The sequence below is a fragment of the Homo sapiens genome, chromosome 9 (genome assembly GCF_000001405.40).
Source record: "Homo sapiens chromosome 9, GRCh38.p14 Primary Assembly".
NCBI classification, from domain to species: Eukaryota; Metazoa; Chordata; class Mammalia; order Primates; family Hominidae; genus Homo; species Homo sapiens.
The window spans coordinates 5305518-5332930 of record NC_000009.12 but is presented as its reverse complement, the minus strand read 5'-3'; the positions used below and the strand labels follow the sequence as shown (position 1 = coordinate 5332930).

Here is a 27413-nt window from a genome sequence, read left to right as displayed (position 1 = left end):
AGAATGAGAATCATGGCCGGGCGCGGTGGCTCATGCCTGAAATCCCAGTACTTTGGGAGGCCGAGGCAGGTGGATCACCTGAGGTCAGGAGTTCGAGACCATCCTGGCTAACATGGTGAAACCCCGTTTCTACTAAAAATACAGAAAATTAGCCAGGAGTGGTGGTGTGCGCCTGTAATCCCAGCTACTCGGGAGGCTGAGGCAGGAGAATCGCTTGAACCCGGGAGTTGCAGTAAGCTGAGATTGCGCCATTGCACTGCAGCTTAGGCATCAAGAGTGAAACACTGTATCACATTAAAAAAAAAAAAAAGCACATTCAGTGACCCCTCAACTTGCTCCATAACAAAGCATCAAGTATTGGTGAAATAAATTGTTCCAATCTGCTGTCTGTTTAAAATTATCCAATGCCACCTTCCATGTGTTACATTGAGACCAATAATGATGTAAATTCAACAAAATAAACCTTATTTCTAGCCAGGCTTCCAGCACCAGTTATCCAGGGGACAATACTATTTTTTCTGCTAGGGTTTGGTTTGTCCTATAAATTTCTTTATTCAATTTTTAAAAATCTTTTATTGATTAGATTTTTTATTGAAAAAGTAATACATGCACTTCATATAGAAAGCTTCAGAGTACAAAAGCGTATAAAAATGAAAGCCAGTCTACTTCTGCACATACAAACATATGTACATATATGCATCTTTCCTTATAAAAAAGGGAGTACACCTGCACACCACTGTGAGTCTTACTTTTTAAAATTTCAACAAATTAAATTGGGAAATAATTTCATTTCCACACACGTAGATCAGTTTTGTTTTTTTAATTGACTTAATATTATTTCAATATATGAGTATACACTAAATTTTTTATCCTATCTCTTATAATAGACATTTGCCTTCATCCCATTTTTTTCATTAACACAAATAATACTACAATGGACACCCTTATACTTGTATACATTTGCATACTGTGCATGTATTTTCATAATATACATTTCTAGAATGGGAATTACTTAGTCAAGGATAAATACATTTTTCATATTAATAGATACTGCAAAATTGTGCCCTCCAAAGAGGTTGCACCAGTTTATTTATTTATTTTTCTTTGTTTGTTTATTATACTTTAAGTTCTAGGGTACATGTGCACAACGTGCAGGTTTGTTACACAGGTATATATGTGCCATGTTGGTTTGCCGCACCCATCAACTCATCATTTGTATTAGGTATTTCTCCTAATGCTATCCCTCCCACAGCCCCCCACCCCCCTAGATGCCCCTGTGTGTGATGTTCCCCACCCTGTGTCCATGTGTTCTCATTGTTCAATTCCCACCTATGGGTGAGAACATGCAGTGTTTGGTTTTCTGTTCTTGTGAGAGTTTGCTTAGAATGATGGTTTCCAACTTCATCCATGTCCCTGCAAAGGACATGAACTCATCCTTTTTTATGGCTGCATAGTATTCCATGGTGTATATGTGCCACGTTTTCTTAATCCAGTCTATCATTGATGGACATTTGGGTTGGTCTTTGCTATTGTGAATAGTGCCACAATAAACATATGTGTGCATGTGTCTTTATAGTAGCGTGATTTATTGAGGATTTTCTCATCGATGTTCATCAGGGTATTGGCCTAAAATCTCTTTTTTTATTGTGTCTCTACCAGGCTTTCAGGATGATGCTAGCCCCATAAAATGAGTTAGGGAGGATTCCCTCTTTTTCTGTTGATGGAAATAGTTTCAGAAGGAATGGTACCAGCTCCTTTTTATACCTCTGGTAGAATTTGGCTGTGAATCCATCTGGTCCTGGACATTTTTTGGTCGGTAGGCTATTAATTATTGCCTCAATTTCAGAACCTGTTATTGGTGTATTCAGAGATTCAACTTCTTCCTGGTTTAGTCTTGGGAGGGTATACATGTCCAGGAATTTATCCATTTCTTCTAGATTTTCTAGTTTATTTGCGTAGAGGTGTTCATAGTATTCTCTGATGGTAGTTTGTATTTCTGTGGGATCAGTGGTGATACCCCCTTTATCATTTTTCATTGCATCTCTTTGATTCTTCTCTCTTTTCTTCTTAATTAGTGTTGCTAGTGGTCTATCTATTTTGTTGATCTTTTCAAAAAACCAGCTCCTGGATTCATTGATGTTTTGAAGGTTTTTTTTTTTTTTTTGTCTCTCTATCTCCTTCAGTTCTGCTCTGATCTTAGTTATTTCTTGCCTTCTGCTAGCTAGCTTTTGAATTTGTTTGCTCTTGCCTCTCTAATTCTTCTTCTTCTTTTTTCTTTTTTTTTTTTTTTTTTGAGATGGAGTCTTGCTCTGTCGCCCAGGCTGGAGTGCAGTGGTGTGATCTTGGCTCACTGCAAGCTCTGCCTCCCCAGTTCATGCCGTTCTCCTGCCTCAGCCTCCAGAGTAGCTGGGACTACAGGCCCCCGCCACCATGCCTGGCTAATTTTTTGTATTTTTAGTAGAGATGGGGTTTCACTGTGTGAGGCAGGATGGTCTCGATCTCCTGACCTCGTGATCTGCCCTCCTCTGCCTCCCAAAGTGCTGGGATGACAGGCGTGAGCCACCACACCCGGCCTCTCTAATTCTTTTAATTGTGATGTTAGAGTGTCAATTTTAGATCTCTCCTGCTTTCTTTTATGGGCATTTAGTGCTATAAATTTTCTTCTACACACTGCTTTAAAATGTCCCAGAGATTCTGGTACATTGTGTCTTTGTTCTCATTGGTTTCAAAGAACTTCTTTATTTATGCCTTCATTTCGTTACTTACCCAGTAGTCATTCAGGAGCAGGTTGTTCAGTTTCCATGTAGTTGTGCAGTTTTGAGTGAGTTTCTTAATCCTGAGTTCTAATTTGATTGCACTGTGGTCTGAGAGACAGTTTGTTGTGATATCTGTTCTTTTGCATTTGCTGAGGAGTGTTTTACTACAAATTATGTGGTCAATTTTATAATAAATGCGATGAGGTGCTGAGAAGAATGTATATTCTGTTGATTTGGGGTGTAGAATTTTGTAGATGTCTATTAGGTCTGCTTGGTGCAGAGCTGAGTTCAAGTCCTGGATATCCTTGTTAACCTTCTGTCTCATTGATCTGTCTATTATTGACAGTGGGGTGTTAAAGTCTCCCATTATTATTGTGTGGGAGTCTAAGTCTCTTTATATGTCTCTAAGGACTTGTTTTATGAATCTGGGTGCTCCTGTATTGGGTCCATATATATTTAGGATAGTGAGCTCTTCTTGGTGAATTGATCCCTTTACCATTATGTAGTGGCCTTCTTTGTCTCTTTTGATCTTTGTTGATTTAAAGTCTGTTTTATCAGAGACTAGGATTGCAACTCCTGCATTTTTTTTTTTCTCTCCGTTTCCTTGGTAGATCTTCCTCCATCCCTTTGTTTTGAGCCTATGTGTGTCTTTGCACATGAGATGGGTCTCCTGAATACAGCACACCAAGGGGTCTTGACTCTTTATCCAGTTTGCCAGTCTGTCTCTTTTAGTTGGGGTATTTAGCTCATTTACATTTAAGGTTAATATTGTTATGTTTAAATTTGATCCCATCATTATGATGTTAGCTGGTTATTTTGCCTGTTAATTGATGCAGTTTCTTTTCTTTTTTTTTTTTTTTTTTTTGAGATGGAGTCTCGCTCTGTCGCCCAGGCCGGACTGCGGACTGCAGTGGTGCAATCTCGGCTCACTGCAAGCTCCGCTTCCCGGGTTCACGCCATTCTCCTGCCTCAGCCTCCCGAGTAGCTGGGACTACAGGCGCCCGCCACCGCGCCCGGCTAATTTTTTGTATTTTTAGTAGAGACGGGGTTTCACCTTGTTAGCCAGGATGGTCTCGATCTCCTGACCTCATGATCCACCCGCCTCGGCCTCCCAAAGTGTTGGGATTACAGGCGTGAGCCACCGCACCCGGCCGATGCAGTTTCTTCATAGCATTGATGGTCTTTACCATTTGGCACGTTTTTGCAGTGGCTGGTACTGGTTGTTCCTTTCCATGTTTAGTGCTTCCTTCAGGAAATCTCGTAAGGCAGCCCTGATGGTGACAAAATCTCTCAGCATTTTCTTGTCTGTAAAGGATTTTATTTCTCCTTCACTTATGAAGCTTAGTTTGGCTGGATATGAGATTCTGATTGTTGAAAATTCTAGCTGATGGTTGAAAATTCTTTCTTTAAGAATGTTGAATATTGGCCCCCGCTCTCCTCTGGCTTGTAGAGTTTCTGCCGAGAGATCCGCTGTTAGTCTGATGGGCTTCCCTTTGTTGGTAACCTGACCTTTCTCTCTGGCTGCCCTTAACATTTTTTCCTTCATTTCAACCTTGGTGAATCTGACAATTATGTGTCTTGGGGTTGCTCTTCTCGAGGAGTATCTTTGTGGTGGTCTCTGTATTTCCTGAATTTGAATGTTGGCCTGCCTTGCTAGATTAGGGAAGTTCTCGTGGATAATATCCTGAAGAGTGTTTTCTAACTTGGTTCCATTCTCCCCGTCACTTCCAGTACACCAAACTAACGTATATTTGTTCTTTTCACATAGTCCCATATTTCTTGGAGGCTTTGTTCATTTCTTTTCACTCTTTTTTCTCTAATCTTGTCTTCTCACTTTATTTCATTAATTTGATCTTCAATCACTGATATCCTTTCTTCCACTTGATCGAATCAGCAATTGAAGCTTGTGCATGCGTCACGAAGTTCTCATGGCATGGTTTTCAGCTCCATCAGGTCATTTAAGATCTTCTCTACACTGTTTATTCTAGTTAGCCATTCGTCTAACTTTTTTTCAAGGTTTTTAACTTACTTGGGATGGGTTAGAACATGCTCCTTTAGCTAGGAGAAGTTTGTTATTACCAACCTTCTGAAGCCTACTTCTGTCAACTTGTCGAACTCATTCTCTGTCCAGTTTTGTTCCCTTGCTGCTGAGAAGGTGTGATCCTTTGGAGAAGTGGTGCTCTGTTTTTTGGAATTTTCAGCTTTTCTGCTCTGGTTTCTCCCTATCTTTGCGGTTTTATCTACTTTTGGTCTTTGATGTTGGTGACCTACAAATGGGGTTTTGTTGTGGATGTCCTTTTTGTTGATGTTGATGCTATTCATTTCCGTTTATTAGTTTTCCTTCTAACAGTCAGACCCCTCAGCTGCAGGTGTGTTGGAGTTTGCCAGAAGTCCACTCTAGAACCTATTTGCCTGGGTATCACCAGTGGAGGCTACAGAACAGCAAATATTACTGCCTGATCTTTCCTCTGGAAGCTTCATCCCAGAGGGGCACCTGCCTGTTTGAAGTGTCTGTCAGCCCCTACTGGGAGGTGTTTCCCAGTCAGGCTACACAGGGGTCAGGGACCTGCTTGAGGAGGCAGTCTGTCCATTCCCAAAGCTCGAATGCCGTGCTGAGAGAACCACTGCTCTCTTTAGAGTTGTCAGACAGGGACGTTTAAGTCTGCAGAAGTTGTCTGCTGCCTTTTGTTCTACTATGCCCTGCCGCTAGAGGTGGAGTCTACAAAGGCTGGTGGGCCTTGTTGAGCTGCGGTGGACTCCACCCAGTTTGTGCTTCCTAGCCTCTTTGTTTACACTGTGAGCTACTCAAGCCTCAGCAATGGTGGATGCCCCTCCCCCCATCAAGCTGCTGCGTAGCCGGTCGATCTCAGACTGCTGCGCTAGTAGTGAGCAAGGCTCCTTGGGCATGGGACCTGCCTAGCCAGGCAAAGGAGGGTATCTCCTGGTCTGCGGTTGCTAAGACTGTTGGAAAAGGGCACTATTTGGTCATGAGTGTACCCTTTCTCCAGCTACAGTCTGTTATGGCTTCCCTTGGCTAGGAAAGGGAAATCCTCCCCAACCTTGCATTTCCCGGGTGAGGTGACACCTCGCCCTGCTTCAGCTCACCCTCTGTGGGCTGCCCCCACTGTTCAACCAGTTCCAGTGAAATGAACCAGGCACCTCAGTTGGAAGTGCAGAAATCACCTGTCTTCTGCATCAATCTCACTGGGAGTTGCAGACTGGAGCTGTTCCTATTGGGCCATTTGGAAGTGACCAGTTTTTTATTTTATATTTTTAATGCCCCTTCCTCATTTCTGTTATCAATTTTTTCTTGTCAAGACATTTGCCTTCTATTTCAATACTTAGTATTTACTTTACAACTAATTCTGATTTGTGCTAACCATCATTTCTTCCTAAATTTAAAAAACATTAAGGACTTAATTTTCCTGTCCTCCTTTTACACTTTATAAAAATTTTGAAGCTGATTTAAACAAGAACGCTAAAAATAGTCTGTCATGCTGATTCAGATCACTATTTGACATAAATCAGGTGGAGACCTGGGCATTCTCTGTTTGATGCCCTCCCCCCTTGTCCCCACCTGGCTCCTCCATACCCTGCTCTTCCTTGTCCATCACTGCCCTATGCTCTGAGTCTGACCCTCCACACTGCATTTCCCAGGCTCCCACACTCTGGCTTCTGATGGAGATCAGCCAGTCTGGGTACCAGCAGGAGTCTTTAGGGTGGGGAGACAGTGAGTTTAGGTATGTGGTCTGCCTATGGCAGTGGGTTCCTAAGCCACAGATCCTTTTAGGCAGTACCACTTCAGTGGCTCCACCTGTCACTGGATCTGCTTAATACTGTTTCCTTCTTCCCCTTCTAGCCTAAAAGAGTTAATGGTTTCCTGCTACTGTCAGCCCCTGGGTGCCTTTTCATCCCTTGAGGTTACCATTGACACTACTCAAACAAAATAATGGTATGTTTGTGTTTTTGTTATAAACAATTTTAAAAAATTTAACAGAAACCTGCATTTATAAGGAACACTAAAAAGGTCCATTTTAAAATAATTGTTTATTAAACTGTAACAAGGTTTCTAGCAATTTTAGATTGAATGTGATGCTCCTAAACTGCTTTAATACATGCCATAATTACAAATTAAATTTTTGGGTCAGACTTCATTATAACTGTGGTAATTTAAAAAAATCCACACTTGAAATGAGACAAGTGTCTGTTGACTAAAGAGAAAAGAACTTTCCAGTGTGTTACATGGATTTTACAACAGAGAAGCTGCTTCCACAATAGAATTGATGTTCCCTTGACATCGCCTTTGGGAAGGAAAAATTAAAAAAAAATTGATGTCACCTTTCAGATATAGATATTGCAACCTTAAAGAATTTATAGAACTACAACCCTTGTCTTCACCTAGAACATAAATTAAGATGATATTGGCTTGTGAATACCCATTTTCCTCATATAACAATTAACAAATTTACATCAAACCGAAGTGAATAATGCTGGCTTATTTTATTTATAAGTAGTATATCTTGTTTTTAGATGAAAGGCTCTGCTTAAAAGATATTTTTTTGAGACCAAGTCTTCCTGTTCATCTGTGAAGCTTATTTGGTATATTGTAGTCATTTCTAATCTTTCTTTGTGATACAGGCCATAGAACTGTGCTAGAGGTTAACAATCTTAATTACGAGTTCTCTCTATTGCTTTATTAAGCTCTCTTGTTTGTTCTATTGTGTATTTACCTCATTCTGAGTGCCATGCAAAACAAAATAGTGTTAGACAAAGTTTTAATGTGAACAAATTAATGCAGTTTTCTAGAAAAGCATAATCTAGTTTTTTTTTCTAGCCTTTCCTATTTTTAAAATTCTTGTTGCCTTTCTTATTTCTTTATGTCTTTGATGGACTTCCAGTAGTTTCTGTGACTTGAGCTTATAGTCCTGTGTCTTGTGTAGACTGGGTAATGGAACACTAAGCTTGTATACTTGCAAATGACAGCCTTAAATTCCCCTATCGGCCACCTGTCCCCACAAAATAATAGTAATAATTAAGGCCAGCAATAGCAGTTATTTTTCCTTAAAAAATAAAATTTTAAAGTAAAAATGTTATATTATTATTTTTAAGCCAACTGTCTTAAGATCTTATCTAACTTGGTTTCTGGGGTTTTTGAGGGTAAAGTTTCCCAACACCCCACTTCTCCTACACTTATCCTTATACTTAGGCATGAATTTGCAAAGCAACGCCTCAGAATATTTCTGGAAAAATTACGTTGGAATTACATCATATGGCTGAATAGCAGTGCAATTGAATATGTTGAGTTTTTTATTTGTGTCTTCACCTTTGTTTATGTTAAGGATAGAACCCCAAAGAGAATAATACTGGTTTACTTATTCCATGCTTATTACACAATAATAATACGCCAGCCTCTGTACTATTCAATGAGGATATAAAGGTGAAAAGGCAAGGTTGCGTACTTTTATAATATTTATATGTTCTGGTGGTTCAAATTATTTTACTCAGTGCTTTTCTTAGAAGAAGAAATATTTGGATGATGTTCAGTAAACACAAATTTTGTGTTATCTTTGAATCTGTTTGGTAGGTTTATGATGTTAAATTCCTGGTTAGGTTCAGTTCAAGTATATTTACCAAAGACAAATTAGAAATACAGGGACCATCAGGTTAGGGATTTATTTCATTATGGTAATAGGATTATGTCATTGGAATTGGAATTTATTTTACACTTGGTCTGATTTTTAAATCATTTTACATGACTTAAATGTCAAATTATAATGTAAAATGATTATTTTCAGTTATGCACCCCACAATTTGAAGCCACATTTGTTTTGAGGGAATTTTGAATATGAAGACCTCTGAGTATTAGAAGTTATATTGAGTGGGGATTATGCGTAATTTTCCTCTCTTGGAAAATCTATCTGTGATTATATATTTTCTTTTTAATGTACATAAACAAGTAAAAAACACAAGGAGAACTTCAGCTGTAGACCCTGCACTTTAACATTAGTAACTGCTAATCTACCCACAAATATTGGTGATTTTTTTTGCACATATAACAATAAAAATGACTACCACCACCTTAAGAGCTGATTGGAATTACATCTTTTATTTATTTATTTATTTATTTTGAGACAGAGTCTTACTCTGTTGCCCAGACTGGAGTGCAGTGGTGTGATCTTGGCTCACTGCAACCTCTGCCTTTGGGTTCAAGTGATTCTCCTTCCTCAGCCTCCTGGGTAGCTGGGACTACAGGCACATATCAACACACCTGGCTAACCTTAGGTATTTTTAGTAGACACGCAGTTTAGCCATGTTGGCCAGGTTGGTCTTGAACTCCTGACCTCAAGTGAATCCATCCACCTCGGCCTCCCAAATTGCTGGGATTACAGGCATGAGCCACCGTGCCTGGCCTGTGTATTTTAATTCCATATTTTGCATATATTTTTAGTATTTAAACATTTGCATATTTAAAGACATTAGTACACTTACAAGTAAGGGAAATTCTATTAGGTTAGATATTTTAAAACCTCTGAAAATCAATTCATTTCTAAGTAATAGTTTGTTGCTGTGTACCTTTAATAAGTACAGCAATTAGAGCTTTCATATTCAAGAACAGTCAGTTGCAAGGACTGGACACCCTAAAAATGCACAACTCTAAAGAAAAGGGAAAAAATCTGCCTATTGAGCCATATAAAAGGGAAGAACAAGTAACCTTATATAACAGAAGTTATATAAGATGAAATAATGATGATGACAAGGAATTTGTTTTCTTTATATATTTTATTAGGAGAAAAACTACTGTAGGAGAGGGAAAATTGCTTCTGTGTACCCTTTGAGGTTTTTTGGCTGGTCTATGAATTAAATTGATATTAGACAGATTAAAAGGAGAAAAAAACATTTAATTACTCACATATGCACAGGAGTCCCACCAAAATATGAGACTCCAGGAAGCAGCCAGATGACTGAGACAGATACTATCTTAAGCTAGAGTAAGGAATAGGAATAAGGATTTGGGGGTACTGGGGAGTGGTAGAGATGAATTGTGGGAAGGCGAGAGGAGGAAATGTGTGGTGAATAAAGGTTACCTTGCTATGCAGATAAAAGTCTCTCCAGTGAGAAAAAGTTATCTATGAGTAACTCTCTTTCTGGCAAAGATAGATACATTTACTAATAAAAATGTCCTTTACAAATGGGAAATTATACTTTAAGCAGATGGGGAGGCGAAGTGCTTTTTCTGCATTGACTGGTTCTCAGTTTCTTTTAGCTCAAAATAATACATCAAAGTGGCATATTTTGGGATGACTTGTTCTGATCCCATCACTACTTGGTGGTAAAATGCTACCCAATATTATAACATCATGTGGCGCCTTCTTTTAAAAAGTCTTTAAACATGATATAATTTCCTCAAAGCTTTATGATGTAAAATGAGGTATCTCAGATATGGACATCTCCAGTGAGAGGATCCCAAAGGCTTTATACCCCCATATTCTATTGTGGGTTGGGATGCAGTGGAGAAGAAATGCCAGGATGTTTGTAGCTTTATCAAATTGAAAACTTAGAGCATCTAATTATTACTCACTTAGAAATCAAATTGTTCTCTGTGGACTTCCTTCTCCAAGGAGATTCAAAGCACTTGCTACAAAAAAAAGGAAGATCACAGCTTGCTTCTCTGTTTTCCTTCCTACAGGCAAAACCTTGTGTCACTTGGTTGGCTTAACAGAATTAACTTCTCTCCTTGGATTGCTTGTCGTTGTTTTTATGTAGTTCAGTAACTATTAAATACTTTTCATCTGTGATTAAAAGCATATTGCTTCTGGAGGGTCCCTGGCATGCTGCAGTCCTATGACTGGGCAGCAGGTTTCTCACCTTCCTAAATCTGAGCAGTAAAGCCCTGCTGGAGGGTAACTCACCCCTGATGTTTCTCCTTTGGGGGTTGCTGAGTGGTAAGGGTGCAGCTGCTGCCCTATCAGCTTTCCCAGAGTCACAAAGAGAAGCTCCCACTTGGAAGGGATCTTATTCATTGTCTGCTCCCGTTTTGCTGTCCATCCACTGATATCCTAATCTACCTGCTCTACTCCTCAGTGTGGTTCAGGCTTTGCTGTACCCATCCATTCGGATTTGGGCACCAAGCTACAGAGTTCCTATTTGCACAGATCTCAGCTATGTCCTCCTTCAAATTCTATACCTTCCTGTTCTAGTTTTGAAATAAAAGGAAATAAGGAGGAGAAGAAAGTGACCATCGTTCTCAGGGCTGCCTCAAAGCTAGAGATAGAGAAGAGGAGCAAGCTCACAAACTCCAGTGTACTGAGCACAGCTGACACCAAGGGCAGCCAATGCTCCCTGTATCTTTATGCTCTGTAAGTTCAGTGACCTGAGGGCAGCACCTGGGACAGCTGCTTGCAGTGTTCTTGCTTTCTCCTTTTTCCTTAGCCACAGTGCATGTGTTTAGGCAGATGCCTCCAAGCCACAGACCATTGCTTGCTTCCTTCTTCCCTCCCTCCCTCTTCCCTCCTTTTTCTTCCTCTTTTTCTCCATTGCTTCCCCCCACCCTGCATCCCTTCCCTCCATCCCTCCTTCCTTCCTGCCTTATTTCCTTCCTTTTTTCAACAAATATTTGATTAACACTTATCTAAGGTGATTGGGACACAGAATTGTGCTCAGTCACTGCTCATATACAGCCTACATTTAGTAAAAATGACAGACAGTATCTAAAGAAATACAAAGTGTAAATCAAGCTAAGTGCTATGATGAACATTAAGGCTGGATGGAGAGTCAGGGAAGAGCTGTCTTTGGGAAAGAAGTATTTGAATAAAAACGTGAATAAAATGAGGGGAAAGCCATGTGCAAGATGAGGTAATAAGCACACTCACTTCTTTGATCTTACCTGGAAGAAAGTCCATGAGCTCATTTTCTAATGGGTTGGTTCAATCTGTTGCCACTAGGAGGAAGCCTACAATTTTGTTTTGTGGCCTTCACATTCATACTTACCACTAAAATATTTGCTTCCAGCATCAAAATTTACTCATATGAGAAAGTAAGATTGGAATTTAAACTTTTGGTTAAAACTGTGATTTTCAAAAATTCTGCTTTAGTAGAAGAATAGTCTTATGTTTGCCTTTATTGTTACTGTGAAGTATGAATCACATTGAACTGTATAATTTTAAGATGAGAATCATGTTGTGATTCTTCAACTCACTGAAAATGAAGTGCTGCCTAATTTTGATGAGATAAATTGTTCCAGTCTTTGTTGCAGTTGTAGATTTATCCATAGCTGGCTTCCATCTGTTACATTCAGATGATAATGATAAAATTCATCATTTCTACCCAGTCTTCCAGCACAGAGTAGCTAGAAGACAGAACTATCTTTCTTCCAGGTTTGTGTGCTTCTTCAAAAAGTCTTTATTTAGTATTTTTAAATGCCCTCTGAATATAAAGAGTCTTTAAATGCAATACTAAAAATAACTTTTCATATGTGAAAATGTTTCATTTAAATTATTTTTGTGTGGCTGGGCATGGTGGCTCATGCCTATAATCCCAGCACTTTGGGAGGCTGAGGTGGGCGGATCCCCTGAGGTCAGAAGTTTGAGAGCAGCCTGGCCCACATGGTGAAACTCCATCTCTACTAAAAACACAAAACGTAGCCGCGTGTGGTGGTACACACCTGTCGTTCCAGCTACTTAGGAGGCTGAGGCAGGAGAATCACTTGAACCTGAGAGGTGGAGGTTGCAGTGAGCCGAGATCATGACACTGCACTCCAGCCTAGGCGACAGAGTGGCACCCTGTGTCAAAAAATTAAAAAATAAATAATTTTGTTGTGTCCTTGTTAGTGTCCAAAATTCACTGGAGAGATTCTTTCAGAATTGTAAAGTTTAATTAAAAGTGTTAGGTTTGCCGGGTGTGGTGGCTCACACCTGTAATCCCAGCACATTGGGAGGCCGAGGAGGGCGGATCACCTGAGATCAGGAGTTTGAGACCAGCCTGGCCCACACGGTGAAACCCCATCTCTACTAAAACTACAAAAATTAGCCAGATGTGGTGGCAGGTGCCTGTAATCCTTACTACTTGGGAGGCTGAGGCAGGAGAATGGCTTGAATCCGGGAGGCAGAGGTTGCAGTGAACCGAGATTGTGCCACCTCACTCTGGTCTGGGTGACAGAGTGATACTCCGTCTTAAAAAAAAAAAAAAAAGTGTTAGCTTAGAGGATGAACCTTAGTGCATTTCTTAATGGTATCTGATCAAATAAAAAAATTAAGTTTAAGAACATCTTTAAAGGTGCTTCTTTCACCTGCTCTTCTATTATTTTCTACTACATGAATCCATATTTTCTGACTTCATAAAGAATGTTATTCTTATTTCTTAATGAGTCCTGCTCCATAATTCTGCAAAGTTATTTACACAGAGAGATGGTCAGAACTACTGTCCAGGATTTCAGTGGCTTCTGAATTGAAGTCTAGAATTGAAATACCAGTAATTCACTGAGTTGCTTGCTTGCCAATTATTGTAAATAAACTAACATCATGCCTTTGACTAATGATCCCATAGAGGAGATTCATTTTATAGTTTCATATATTTATAGCATATATCGGTAACTTTACCCAAACCCTAGTAAAAGTTTGTCAGCTTAATGTATTTGTGCATGAATTTAACTACCACTGGAGGATGGTGAATTTTGTTTATAGCATCTGATATTTGAACTTTTTCCTAAATGAAAAGTTACATTAAAAAAAACTTCTCATAAAAAATCCTCATGGGACGTTCCATTCAGTTCATGTTTTCTCCCTCGTTCTTCATTTCCCTGCACCTGAGCCATTCGTCTTGTTCTTTTCTCAATGGCTATGTTAGAAAGTGGTAAATATGTCTGCCTCCTCTGCCTTCCCTGCTCACCCTCAGTTCATCAGGAAGTCATGTAGGCTTCCTGTATTGCTTCCCAGGAATTAAAGAAATCTTAGTCACCACATCAAAAAATCTAGATCATTTTGCCTTTGAAACTTTCACTTCCCAAAGGTTACTTGCAGTGAACGTGTTTATAGTTCCTTAGGAAAGGGATGTGTATGAAACTTGGTGTTAATGATAAAAAGAGCAACACTAGATAGAATGCTGGGCTAGGGAGATGGTCATTTCTAGAGATTCACCAACTGAAGGAGAATGTATCTCACTATAAGGTTAAGAGGCTTTTCTTCCCAGATCATCAAACATCTGGGTATAGTTTTCAGTGTTCATTTCCATGAGGGCACAGATTTGTATTTGATTGGCCCTTTTCTTATTGCCAATCTTAAAAATCTTTAAAACGGAAATCTATTCTCTTTGGAATCAACCCAGAAAAAATAGTAGCTCAACTTTAAATCAGCAAATGGTTAAACATTGTTAGAAATAAATTACTTAATTCCTTGAGTTAGCTGATCCTGTTCCCAGCTTATTTAAAAAAAAATAGAATCCTCAGCAAAAACTACAAACAAGTAACAGAATTTCTGAATCCAAAAGGTTGAAAATGAGCAGCACAGCTCATTTTCTTACCAATCAATAGGTAAGAAGAAAATTAAGATTGTTAATTCTCTTGTTCTGTGATTCTTTTTGAGAAGGTCCATATCTGTTGCTGAGTAAAAACATTAATGTTAAGAGACCTTACTAAATTATAGAATAAACTTCTTTGAAAGGTATAGTAACAAGAAATTACTGTTAGAATTATTTACACTTACCATATTGGGGTTTTACAGCATCATTTAACTGCTAGAGCTATTTTTAAAAATCCACATATTTCACAGTAACCATAGAAAAAAACCACCAAGAGGTGTAGGAAATAGAAGGCTTTTAAATGTATTTCATATTATTACGAGATGTTCATTTTTCCAACCAGCTATTTCTTGTTACTTTGTTCATGGTAGGAGGAACAAAAAAGGGATGTTGTTTATCCTGACTTCACTCACTGAGGGAGAAAATAAAAGTGGCAGGGTGAAGTCATCTTATTATAATGTTGCAAATAATTTTTAAAATCCAGAAATTTTGACTGGGTGCAGTAGCTCATGCCTGTAAATCCCAGTACTTTGGGAGGCCAAGGCAGGCGGATCACCTGAGGTCACAAGTTTGAGACCAGCCTGGCCAATGTGGCGAAACCCTGTCTCTACTATTTCTAACTGTGTGTATACAGACACACACACACACACACACACGCACACACACACATAGTTTTGTTAAATACTGTGAAATTCTCTTCCAAAAGGGTCGTACGATTTTGCATTCCCACCACCCCATTGGCATAGATGAGTGTCTCTCCCACACTTCGTCAACAGTGTATTAAGTTGAAAATTTTTGCTATTCTAATGAGTAAGAAATGGTATCTTAGTGTGGTTTTAGTTTGCATTTCTCTTATTATAAATACAACTGAGCATTTTTGACATGTTCACAGACCAATTTACATCTTTTGCAAGTTGCCTAATTTGTGTCTTTTACCCATTTTTCTCTAGAATTTTGGTCTTTTCCCTCTCAATTTTAAAAAGGTCTTTGTATGTTAGAACCATTGTTTGTATTTGTAATAGATGTGGCAAATATTTTCTTTCAATTTAATACCATCTTTTGACTGATTACAATGTGTGTGCGGTTTTTTTCTCGTACTAATACCAACTGCTTTACCTATATAGGCTTTGAAATAGGGTGTAATATCTAGTAGGGCCAGTTCTCCCTCAGAGCTCTTCGTTCTCAGTGTAGCCCAGCTATTTTTTTTTTTTTAAGACAGAGTCTCACTCTGTTGCCCAGGCTGGAGTGCAATGATGCAGTCTCAGCTCATTGCAACCTCTGCCTCCTGGGTTCAAGCAATTCTCCTGTTTCAGCCTCCCAGGGTATGTGTGTTCTTAAAGTGTATTTTGTGTAAGCTGCACGTAGTTGAATCTTGGTTTTTTATCCATTCAGCCACTTTATGTATTTTGATTGGAGAATTTAATCCATTTACATTCAAAGTAATTATTGATAGGTAAGGAGTTACTATTGCCATTTGGTTAATTGTTTTCTGGTTATTTTATAGATCCTTTGTTTGTTGTTTATCTTTGTGATTTTATGTTTTCCTGTGGTACTGTTTTGATTCCTTTCTCTTTATCAGTTGTGTATCTGCTATTATCTTTTGTTTTCTGGTTACTGTGAGGCTTACATAAAACATCTTACAGTTATAAGACTCTTTTGTGTTGATAGCAACTTAATTTCAATCCCATACAACAACTCTAGACTTTAAACTTCCTCATTTATATTTTTGATTTCACAATTTACATATTTTTACATTATGTATTTCTAAATTAGTTCAGCCATTGTGGAAGACAGTGTGGTGACTCCTCAAGGATCTAGAACCAGAAATACCATTTGACCCAGCAATCCTATTACTGGGTATATACCCAAAGGATTATAAATCATTCTGCTATAAAGACACATGCACATGTATGTTTACCGCAGCACTATTCACAATAGTAAAGACTTGGAACCAACCCAAATGCCCACCCATGATAGACTGGATAAAGAAAATGTGGCACATATACACCATGGAATACTATGCAGCCATAAAAAAGGATAAGCTCATGTCCTTTGCAGGGATATGGATGAAGTTGGAAACCATCATTCTCAGCAAACTAACACAGGAACAGAAAACCAAACACTGCATGTTCTCACTCATAAAAGTGGGAATTGAACAATGAGAACACATGGACACAAGGAGGGGAACATCACACAACAGGGCCTTTCAGGGGGTGAGGGGCTAGTGGGAGGATAGCATTTGAAGAAATACCTAATGTAGATATCGGGTTGATGGTGCAGCAAACCACCATGGCATGTGTATACCTATGTAACAAACCTGTACATTCAGAACTTAAAGTGTAATAAAAAAAAGAGAAATCAGTGAAAGGAAAACAATAAAAAAGTAATAACAAAAAAGCAGAAGAAAGTCCTAAAGATGTTATTTGCACATATATACATATATATGTCAATGATAAGTATATACTTAATAAGTACAGATGTACAAATATATACTCAAAAATTATGTGCTTCTTAACAACTTATTGTAGTTATTATTTTTGACTCTTTTGGTTTTTAACCTTCATGCTAAAGATATACATGACTTAACAGAGAACCATAATAATATTAGAGTATTTTGGATTTGACTATGTATTTACCTTTACCAGTGAATTTGATACTCTCTTATATCTTCATATTAGTAACTAGTGTCCTTTTATTTCCACTTGAAGACTCCCTTAAGCATTTCTTGTAAGGCAGGTATAGTGGTAATGAATTTCTTCAACTTCTTTTGTTTGTCTGGGGAAGACTTTATTTCTCCTTCATCTCTAAAGGATAGCTTTGTTGAGTATAGTATTCTCACCTGAAAATTTTTTTCTTTCAGCACTTTGAATGTATCATCTCATCTGTCCTGACCTGCAAGTTTTCTGCTGAGAAATTTGCTGATAGTCTAATGGGAATCCTCTCATATATGATTTGATGCTGTTCTCTTGCTGCTTTTGAAATTCTCTTTGTCTTCGGCTTTTGACAGTTTAGTTGTAATGCAACTTGGAGAGGACCTATTTGAGATCAATCTGTTTAGGAACTTTGGAGCTTCTTGAATCTGGATGTTCAAATCTCTTTCAAAACTTGGGAAGTTTTCAGCAATTATTTCATTATATAAGCTTTCTGCACATTTGTCTCTTCTCCCTGTAGAGCTCCCATAATGCAAAAGTTTGTTTGCTTAATGATGTCCCGTATGTCCCATTGGCTGTCTTCACACTTTTCGTTTTTTTTTTTCCTTCTCATTGGGTAATTTCATAAGACCTATCTTCAAATGCAGAGTTTCTTCCTTGTGCTTGATCTAGTCTGCTGTTGAAGCTTTCTATTGTATTTTTTATTTTCTTCACTCAGTTCTTGAGCTCTAAGATTTCTGTTTTCTTCTTTATTGAATTTCTCATTAAGATGACGAATTGCTTTCCTGATTTTGCTGAATTGTCTATCTGTATTCTCTCAGATCTATCTGAGTTTCCTTAAGATTATTATTTTTAATTCCTTTTCAGGCAACTCATAAACTTCCTTTTCTTTGGGGTCAGTTACTGGCACCTTGTCTTTTATTGGTGTCATGTTTCTTGCTTTTTAATAGTTCTTATGTCCTTGCATTGATGTCTGTGCATCTGGTGGAACAGCACTTCTTCCAAACTTTAGAGAGTGCCTTTAGTAGGGAAAGACTTTGACTCTGGAAGGCATGGCATAGCATTGGCCCAGCTAAAGGTTAGGACCCAGAAAGAAGGTACAGCTGCAATTTGGGAAACGGAGCCAATAGGGCACCATTGCAACTTAGGCCCCAGGACACGAGGGACTGCATGGTGGGGATTCTGGACCTGGGGATAGTGGGACATAGAAGTATCCCAGATTCTGTGAAGCCAGGTGTGACAGCAGCAAGGACCCTGGAATAGCAGAGGGCAGATGTCACTTGGGCCCTGGAAGGAAGGGAGCAGTGCTGCAATGATTCCATTCCTTGGGGATGGGAGTATCTCAGCAGCTCATACTCTAATGGGCTAGTCCAGTTCCAGGAAAGCAGGGTACTACAATTATTCAACCTGTAGGGTGAGGTGACCCAGCTCAGTCAGTGCTCTGTTTAGCTAAGATGTAAAATACCATGTCATCTCATCCCTGAGATGTGCAACTGATTGGGTTTGGCCATGACACTGATTTCCTGGAGGCAAGGTGCTGCTTCCATTCAGGAATGGGGGTGCATGACTGCCCTGAGCAGCCAAGGAGCCAATTCTTTAGGAGGCTGAGTGCCATTTCAGCTCAAGCCTTCACGGGGCAGGGCCAAAAGCAACTTGGAGGGGTGGGTGGAGCATCTCCACTGCAGCTTGGCCCCAAGAAATAGGATGTAGCAGCAGCTCAGCTTGTGGATGGTGCGCAACAATTTGGGGGCGGTTCAACAGCAACAAAGCTGGTGGGATGGAAGTGTACTGTGGCTACCTATCCCCAGAACAGGACACATTCCAACAATGTTTCTGATTTCAAATGCAGTAGCCACGTGGGTCACAGTGGTGAGTATTTTCTCCTCCTCTGTGGGGAGTGTAGCTGTGTGGATTCCAGGGAGTTCCCTCAGCTGGGCTTAGTGCCTGTGAGAACTGCAGGGGTCACCAGAGGTGAGGACTGTAGGTGCCTAAGGTGGTGATGGGGGCTGCTGTGGTCCTCTTCCTTACCTTTTCCCTGCAAGGAGAATTTCCCCCTGGTTCCAACTGATCCTGATGTAGGGATAGGGTGGTGGAGGTGAGGTGTTTCCTTCTGTTGTCTATGTGGCCATCTTGGGTTTCTGCACACTACAGAGTTTCTAATACACCTTTAATGTATTCTAACATCCTCCCTTAGTTATTTTCTTCTAAATGTAGTTGCTTACTTATTGTTTTGGCTATCTTTGGGAGGGTGGTGGTGAGTATTGGGAGCTTCTAGTTAGGTTATCTTACTGATGTCATAAAAAGTGGATTTCAAATGCTCTCACCAAAAATAAATGACAAATATATTAGGTGATGAATATATTAATGAACCTGATTTGATCATTTCACAATGTATGCATGTATCAAATTGTCACAATGTACCCAATAAATATATATGTAATTATTATTTGTCAATTAAATAAAATAAAAAGTTTTTAAGACATAGAGTCACTGAATGGATTAAAAAACAAGACCCAACTCTATGCTCTCTGCAAGAGACTTGCTTCTCCTTTAAGAATACACATAGATTGAAATAGAAAGGTTGTAAAAAGATACTTCATGCAAAGGGAAACCGAAAGAAATCAGTGGTAGCTATGCTTAAATCAGGAAAAATAGACATTGTCAAAAACTAAAATGAGATAAAGAAGGTCATTATATAATGAGATAAAAAGGTCAATTCATGAAGAAGATATAAAGTAAATACATATGCATTCAACATCAGAGAATCTATATATTCATAACACAAATATTAATAGATCAGAAGAGATAGAGTGCAATATAATAATAGCAGAAGACTTCAGTATCTCACTTTCAGCAACACAAAAATCATCTAGATAGAAAATAAGGAAACTTGGACTTGAACTACACTTTGGGTCAAATGAACCTAACAGACATATACAGACCATTCTATTCAACAGCAGCAGAATACACATTCTTTTCATGCACACACAAAACATTTTTCATGCTAGATCATGTGTTAGGTCACAAAACAAGTCTTAACAAATTTAAGAAAATTGAAATCATATCAAGTATTTTTTGATACCACAATGTCATGAAACTAGAAATCAAATTGTTAATTTGGAGAAGGAATTGCAGAACATTCAAAAATACGTAGAAATTAGACCCCCTCCTCCTAAACAATGGGTCAAAGAAGGAAATAAAAAGGAAATTAAAAATATTTTTAGACAAATGAAAATAGAAACAGCATACCAAAACTTACGGGATGCAGCACAAGCAATTCTTTTTTTTTTTCCAAGCAAACTGTATCCAGCTTTATTAAAGATACTCTCCATAAACAATCATGGTATTTCAGGCAGGACATGGGCAGAAAATCATTAACAGTATACAACAACTTTTATACTCCCTTCTTCAACGGACTACCAAAAATTAGAAAGCCACTATAAAACCCAATGAAGTATTCATCTTATGCTCTGAACAGGGAAAGTTTAAAGTGAGGGTTGACATTTCACATTTAGCATGTTGTTTAACAACTTTTCACAAGCCGACCCTGACTTTCTGGAAGTGAAAAGAAAATGGCAGAATTTATCTGAAGATCCACAATCTAGAAACGGAACCACTTCTCTTTTGACAGCTGCCATCTCAGTGGCATCACTGGAAAGTCCAGATTGCCTGACACACTTGTAACCAATGATTGGGGGTCAGGTCCCAATAGATGTCTAGGCTTAAGGGAGTTAAGTCTACGCTGAAAGATGGAAAGGGAGAAGAAGACATAAAACGAATTTGTTTTTCCATACCACAAGGCTTTGTGCCAAGGTGGCCATGTGTGTCAAAATCAGGGGATCCCTCCTCTTGGGAGCCAAGAGGAAGTCTCTCAAAACTAGAAGGGAAAGGTGTTTTCCCCACATCAATCCAGCTTCAGAGACATTCTATTAGTGACATATGCCCCTTCCCCCAAAAACAATGAAGTGTTCTGTGTGCTAACAACATAGCTTAAAAAAAAAGTAAAATAAAATTCTGTTCATGTCCTTCGCCCACTTTTTGATGGGGTTGTTTGTTTTTTTCTTGTAAATTTGTTTGAACGAGTTAGTGGGTGCAGCGCACCAGCATGGCACATGTATACATATGTAACTAACCTGCACAATGTGCACATGTACCCTAAAACTTAAGGTATAATAAAAAAAAAAGAAAAAAAATACTAAAAAAAAAAATTCTGCATTTTTATAAAACTTGATAAAAAAATCATATTTCAAACTCTACAGTCACCAGAAGTATACAGTTATCAAAAATGCACACACTTCACTTGGCATCTCCAGCACCTTCGGCTTTCTGTGCCTGGTCTGTTTTGGCGTCTCCATTTTCTGCAGGGTTATTCCCCTCCTTGCCAGCATCAGCTTTTCCCTTTTTCCCTATGGGTATCTTCTCTCCTGTCTTTGCATGGGCGTTTTTAGGCTTGAGCTCTGGCTTTGGAGGAGCAGGTTTAGTAGACAACCTCATGATCTTCTCTGTGGTTCATCCTTCATCGTGACTTTATCTCCTTTAACATCCCCTTCAGCCTTTCTCTTGGGCATGCTGGCAGTGGTGATGTACTTAAAAATTGTATTCTTGTATTAAGAATGTGTCCAATGAGAGCCCCGGCTGTTTTCCCTATCAGCTACATTAGTTCCAGTGAGGTTTATGTCCTTCCTCCCATCACATGTCTGCTCATGCACTCATATACATGCACACATACACATACCCCGCCCCCCACTCTCATCTTGTACATGTGAAATAAATTCTTCAAAATATCTTGGTTTTGACCTTCAGTTACTCCTGTTGTTGGTCCAATCTTCAGTTTTTCCTAATCTTAGAGATTTCACTTTGTTGCAAGTTATGGTATGTCAAGAAGCAATTATTTGAGTCAGGTGATGGCCTATCATCTTAGAGTGCATTTTTTTCTCCAGCCAGATGAGCTCATGGTGAATTCTTGGACTGAGATCTAGCTCTTGCTAGAACCACATTTGTTTCTGCAAGTAGGGCTTTCCAGAGCAAACACTCAGATCTAAATCAAGAAAGGAAGCCTATCAGAGAAGGAATAAGTGAAGGTAAAACAAAAATTTTTATTTTTCTTATTCTTAATTGATAAAACAGAACACTTTGTTCAAAATAATAGTTGAAACAATGTATTAGATTATGTATGCTTATATATATCTTAGTGTATGTTTCTGTTTAAGTGACATAAATGACAGCAATGATACAAGAAATGGAAGGGAGGAATTAGAATTACTTTTTATTATAAAACACTTGTACTCCAGTGAAGTAAGTTAGTGTTATTTGAAAGTGGGCTTGGATTAATTGTAAATGTATATTGCAAATTCTTGGGCAACCTCTAAAAATAGTTCAAAAAGAGTTATAACTGATATGTTCAGAAAGGAGAGAAAAGGTAATAATATTAAAGGTTCGATTGAAGCTATGCACTATGGGGAATGGGAGCCATGCACGATTGGGGGATCTGAAAGATCTGTCACCCTAGCGAGGAAGAGACTCTAAATGATAGGAATGGAACTTCAATGGAATGTTAGTTTTTTCCTAGGAAATAAGTATAGATCCTAAGTCCTTTGAAACTTGGCAGTTTGGGCAGGGGTGTAGGGGAGAGGTACAGGGAGGAAGGGTATGAAATTACTGAAAACAAAAAGTCCTACACACAAACACAGCTTCACACACAAGAATCTCGTGGTTTTGTTCTCTTTCTAGAGTGGAAAGAATGCAAGAGCTAAAGCAGCTAACCTGCTCTACCTAAAGACCAGAACTAAATAGGGTGCAAAAAATTGGTGGAGGGAGGAATTAGGCATGATTGCCCTGGGATAACCCCAAGCCCTCTCTAAAACCCTGCTTCCTTAGACCTTAGTCCAATACAGATATTCCTCCTGCTTCCTGCACCCTGCTCTCCCATCCACAATCCTGTGGATTCCTCTTTTACCCAACACAACTACTCCACTCCCCCTCCTCAAAGATGTGACTCACCTTAAGATTGGTGCTCCTGTGGCAGCCTGGATCTCCTCACTGTGTGTCACAGGGTCTTTAATTACAGGGGCTCTGCCTTTCCCTAGTTCTAGTAATCTGGGGACTCAGTTCATTTTATACTCTGTAGCCAGGGCCTTCTAGGTGCTCCCATGCTTCCACCCACAACCCCCAGGGAAGCTGCGCACACCTCATTATGAGATCTATAAATTTCCTTCAACCCAGATGTGTTGAGCAGCCACTGTGTGCTTGCCACTGCCCCCAAAGAGCTCACAGTCTAGCAGGAAAGACCTACAAGTAAGGAGTTGTGAGTGCTGTGATAAAAGGAACAGACTGTAGAGGAACTGGGATGGGCGGTGCTGAGTGTGTAAGAGATGGTTAGCAAAAGATCCATCATGTAGTTGATGCTTGATCTGCTTTTGAAAAGAAAATAAGCAAAGAAAGAGAGGCGGAGGAGGGACAGGGAAAGGCAAAGGGAGTGGCAAGGCCGATGGTCCAGGGCATGGAATGTAGGGGAACTGTCAGGGAGTGAGTAGGACTGAGGACTGGGTTGTGGAAGAGGGAAAGGAAAATGCTCCTGGAGAGAAGACAGGAAGAGGGGATCTTAAAGAACCTTGTAGAAGCCAGCTGTGAAGTTTAGACTACATGCTAGGGGTAATGGGAAATAGCTGAAGGGGTTACAAAAGGATCATGATTTCTGTATTAGAGAGACTAATTTTCTATCAACGCTGAGCAGAGAGTGAGAAGGGATGTGGGAAGAGGTAGCAAAGAGATCCTGAGAACCATAGAACACATTATATACAGTCTGAACTGGCTCCTCTGTCCCTCTAGGAACAAAGAAGAGGAGGAGATATGTTGTAGTAGTTGGTTGTTTTAATCACCTCCTATTCACCCTGTTGGAGTGGGAGGGATTCCTGCCTTAGGATTACGCACATGGCCAAACATATGACAAGTGATACTGGCCTAATGAGACTGACAGAAATTTATTAATTACATAGAATTACAGGATGGAGGATAAGGACACTAAATGCCATGCAGGGCCACGTGGGTGTTGCAGTTGGGAACAGACTGAATAAGAGGGGCCGTGTGAGGCAGGCTTTGCAGTATCAAAAGGGTAAGGTGACCCCTGGTTACCACGAAAGGATGTGACTGCCTTCTTTGAATAATTCCAGGGCTGGCAGAGAGCTGAAACTTGCTATTCAGGAATAAGCAGGAACTGTGTCTGGCTCTCTTGAGTGGAGGGTTTTTTGCAGGAGCAGAGTGAGGGAGGAAACTTGTGGTCAGGCCATGTGAGGCCATCCCAGTTTTACCAGATGTCAGGGCAGCACATAATGTTGGGATTAATTTTAGGCCTTATAGAACAGATCAACCCTTGATGCTTTGACATTAATTTTAACCTAAATTTAGATGGAAGAGCCGGGCTCTGGGGTCCCTTGTGATGTTCCATATGTGATTGTGGCAATGGCTGGATTGTATGGTCAGAGACTGGAGAACACACGTGAGAGCCAATGCCCAGCATAACAGTAAAACCACAAACCCCAATAAAAGCAAACAGTGACATCTTATTGTTTTGTTTTTGTTTTTGAATTTCTCTGAGGCCTGGGTGATGATTACTGGGACCACCAGACCTGGCCAGGGGTGATTCTTTCTGAACTTTCTTTCCATACATACGCTATTACTTGAGTAGAAGTAAGAAGTGAGGAAAAAACTAATGAAGTTATTTATCTTTCCTAATCTCTTAACCAAGGTATTTCCAGCAGTTTGCTGAGAAGAAGACTTTTTGAAGATCACGATGGCCCTTCATTTCTTGTTTGATTCTTCTGGATAAAGCAGCATGATAACCTGAAAGGAAAGCATAAACATCTGGAGCAGTTCCAAAGGCATCTGGGGAGAGTCAGCACTGGAGGCTTGAATAAAAGTGTTTACTTCTTCTTATTCTCCAAATCTCAATGAAATAATAATTTAAAAAAAAAACTAGAAAAAAAACAGATCCAATGTAGCACCGACTGTCATTGGGATCAGGTATGAGTTGCCTGTTGTTGACAGATCATGGGAAACAATAAGAATTTTGTAGAAAATACAAAACTAGGAAAAGAGATTAGTGGTAAAATATAAAAGAGCAGGGTTTTATATATTTTAAAAATAAGTTTCTCTTACAACTGTTGGCAAAGCCCTATAGACAAAGTTGGCGCTGGAAGATGGTGCAGGTAGAAGGCCACAAGCAAAGGAATTCAATATGGGGCTGTAGAAGCTCAGAGGCCACCTGTCATCTGGGACAAAGCTGAAAGGAGTGCTCTATGAAATGGAGATTCCAACACAGAAGGACGAGGGCAATGCCCAGGAAACTTACAACTTGGACAAGACAAAGATGCACCCCCAGATGCAGAAAGCAGCTCGGCAGAGCCCATCCTGACCCACATCCCTCATCCTGTCCTCCACAAAATCCGTGGAGGCAGGGCTTCTGGACCCAGAATCTGTATTCACTGCTTTTCAATATATGACTCCTCTTTCAGTGGTACAAAGATTTCCTGTGGTAAACCATCTAGTATAAACACTCAAATAATCACTTCAATCCTTAGACTATCTAATTCAAGTGCCACTAAAGTATGCCTAAAACTCTCATAGGAAACTGATGACTGTAAGTTTATTTCTTAATAAAAATGTATTTTGCACATATATATATATACACACACTATCTATCTATCATCTATCTATCTATCTATCTATCTATCTATCTATCTATCCTCTATCTATCTATCTATCATCTATCTATCACCTATCTATCATCTATCTATCTCAGGATAGAGTAAATAACAGAAAAACCTTAAAAAGTTACTTATAAGAGCCTGTGAGAAAAAGCATCCAACCCCATTTAGCCCCTCAATGTTGCCAGCAGGCTATTCCCACCCTCCCAGGCAGCTGTGTCTAAGCATATAGACCTTCCTCTTTATGCTCCACACCTCATGGTCCCAAGAGGGCTACTTCACCTCCCTTTCTATGTCTGCTTCAGGAAGGAAAGAAAGGAGAAATAAGGCTTAGGGCTAGAATCAGGAAATAAAGGCTTTCCCAGAAACCTCCACACTTGTGCTTAGGTTGTATTAGACAGAACTGTGTCACATAGACACTGCTACTTGTAAGAGACACTGGGAAACCATGTCTAGCACTTACAGCCTCGAATGTTCCTGCTGTCCTACATTCAAAGACATTACTCTGTACATATTAACCTTCACTATTCAGATGAACTACAACTGGAACTGGATCTAGGATATAGGGAAATGAAGGAAAGGGGGCGTTGGAATCCAGTAGACATGGGTTGGAACCCAAACTCCAGCAATTGACAGCTGTATGCATGGACATATTTATTGTTTCTCCTTAAAAAGATTTCCTTTTTATTTAAAGGACTTGAAATGCCTTTTAGTTGTGCCTGTAAAGACTGTGAATCTTGCATTTGCCTGTGATCCTTAGCAGTAGGGTAAGCCCACATCTGGCATATGTGCTGGCCAAAATTACCCTGAATAAGTGCATGACAACTCTCAATCTGTTTCTTCTTTCTGTAAAATGGGAAAGCGGGCATTGTACTGGACAGTTTTAAGGACTCTATAAAACCATGTAGGCAACATAAAAAATCAAAATATCCCTGGACACTTTGGGAGGCCAAGGTGGGTGCATCACCTGAGGTCAGGAGTTTCAGACCAGCCTGTCCAACATGGTGAAACCCAGTCTCTAATAAAAATACAAAAATTAGCCAGGTGTGGTGGTGCACACCTGTAATCCCAGCTACTTCAGAGGCTGAGGCAGGAGAATTGCTTGAACCTGGGAGGTGGAGGTTGCAGTGAGCTGAGATCACACCATTGCACTCCAGCCTGGCGACAAGAGCCAAATTCTGTTAAAAAAAAAAAAAAAAAACAAAAAACAAAAACAAAGAAATCCCTGGAAATTTACATTTTTAACGACCAATTACTTTGGAGTACAGCCTTGCACATGGATTGTTTTTACAAGGACTGTCAACCCACAAAAATGTTTTCAAACCTCAGTTTTGAGAGGCCTCTCTCAAACTGCGTGTTTTAATGAAAACTCATTTAAAAGCATTGATTGCATCTGACCATCTCATAGTCTTGGTCAGGTATTTTTTGAAGAATTACACATTGCTTGGCATTTGACCAATGCTAAGTGGGCCTACTGACATCACCAGCAATCTAGAAATTAGAATTATTTGATTCCATAGTTATGTTTGTAACTAAGAGATTGTTATTCTTTTATTTCAAAGCTACCCTAATGTCCTGCATGTCTCCAGTTTATCTGATGGAGCTGAACTAATCTGAGTATATTATGAACACAAGCAAGTAAGTTATTTTAAAAAATGAACCTACTTGTACTAAAAATTTACAGGTAGAAGGGTTGTCTACTAACCATATTACCTAGAACAGTGTGGATCTTTAGAAAGTTAAATTAAATGATGGTAAAAAATCACCTCTTACCAGGTGCAGCAAACACAAAA

General features: G+C 39.4%; 1 protein-coding gene and 1 pseudogene across 2 annotated transcripts in view, besides 1 other annotated feature; one reads left to right on the top strand and one right to left on the bottom strand.

Annotated features, from left to right (window-relative positions):
• RLN2 (relaxin 2) overlaps positions 1-27413 on the top strand; it is a 39463-nt gene that overhangs the window by 6396 nt on the left and 5654 nt on the right. Inside the window, exons 2-3 of one of the 2 annotated variants that reach the window (XM_047423707.1) lie at positions 24663-24937; positions 27183-27258. In XM_047423707.1, the coding sequence (XP_047279663.1) occupies positions 27245-27258 (14 nt within the window). In that variant the 5' untranslated portion in view covers positions 24663-24937; positions 27183-27244. Of the gene's footprint in view, positions 1-24662; positions 27259-27413 lie in introns of both variants that reach the window. The other variant, XM_047423709.1, reaches the window with a different exon arrangement.
• Positions 5180-5680: an enhancer, noted in NCBI's record as "NANOG-H3K27ac hESC enhancer chr9:5327251-5327751 (GRCh37/hg19 assembly coordinates)". NCBI's record gives its function as "activates a minimal SCP1, AML or CMV promoter by ChIP-STARR-seq in naive H9 embryonic stem cells {active_cell/tissue: H9 hESC(naive)}" and the evidence as "EXISTENCE:reporter gene assay evidence [ECO:0000049][PMID:30033119]".
• On the bottom strand, positions 20208-21500 carry HMGN2P31 (high mobility group nucleosomal binding domain 2 pseudogene 31; annotated as a pseudogene).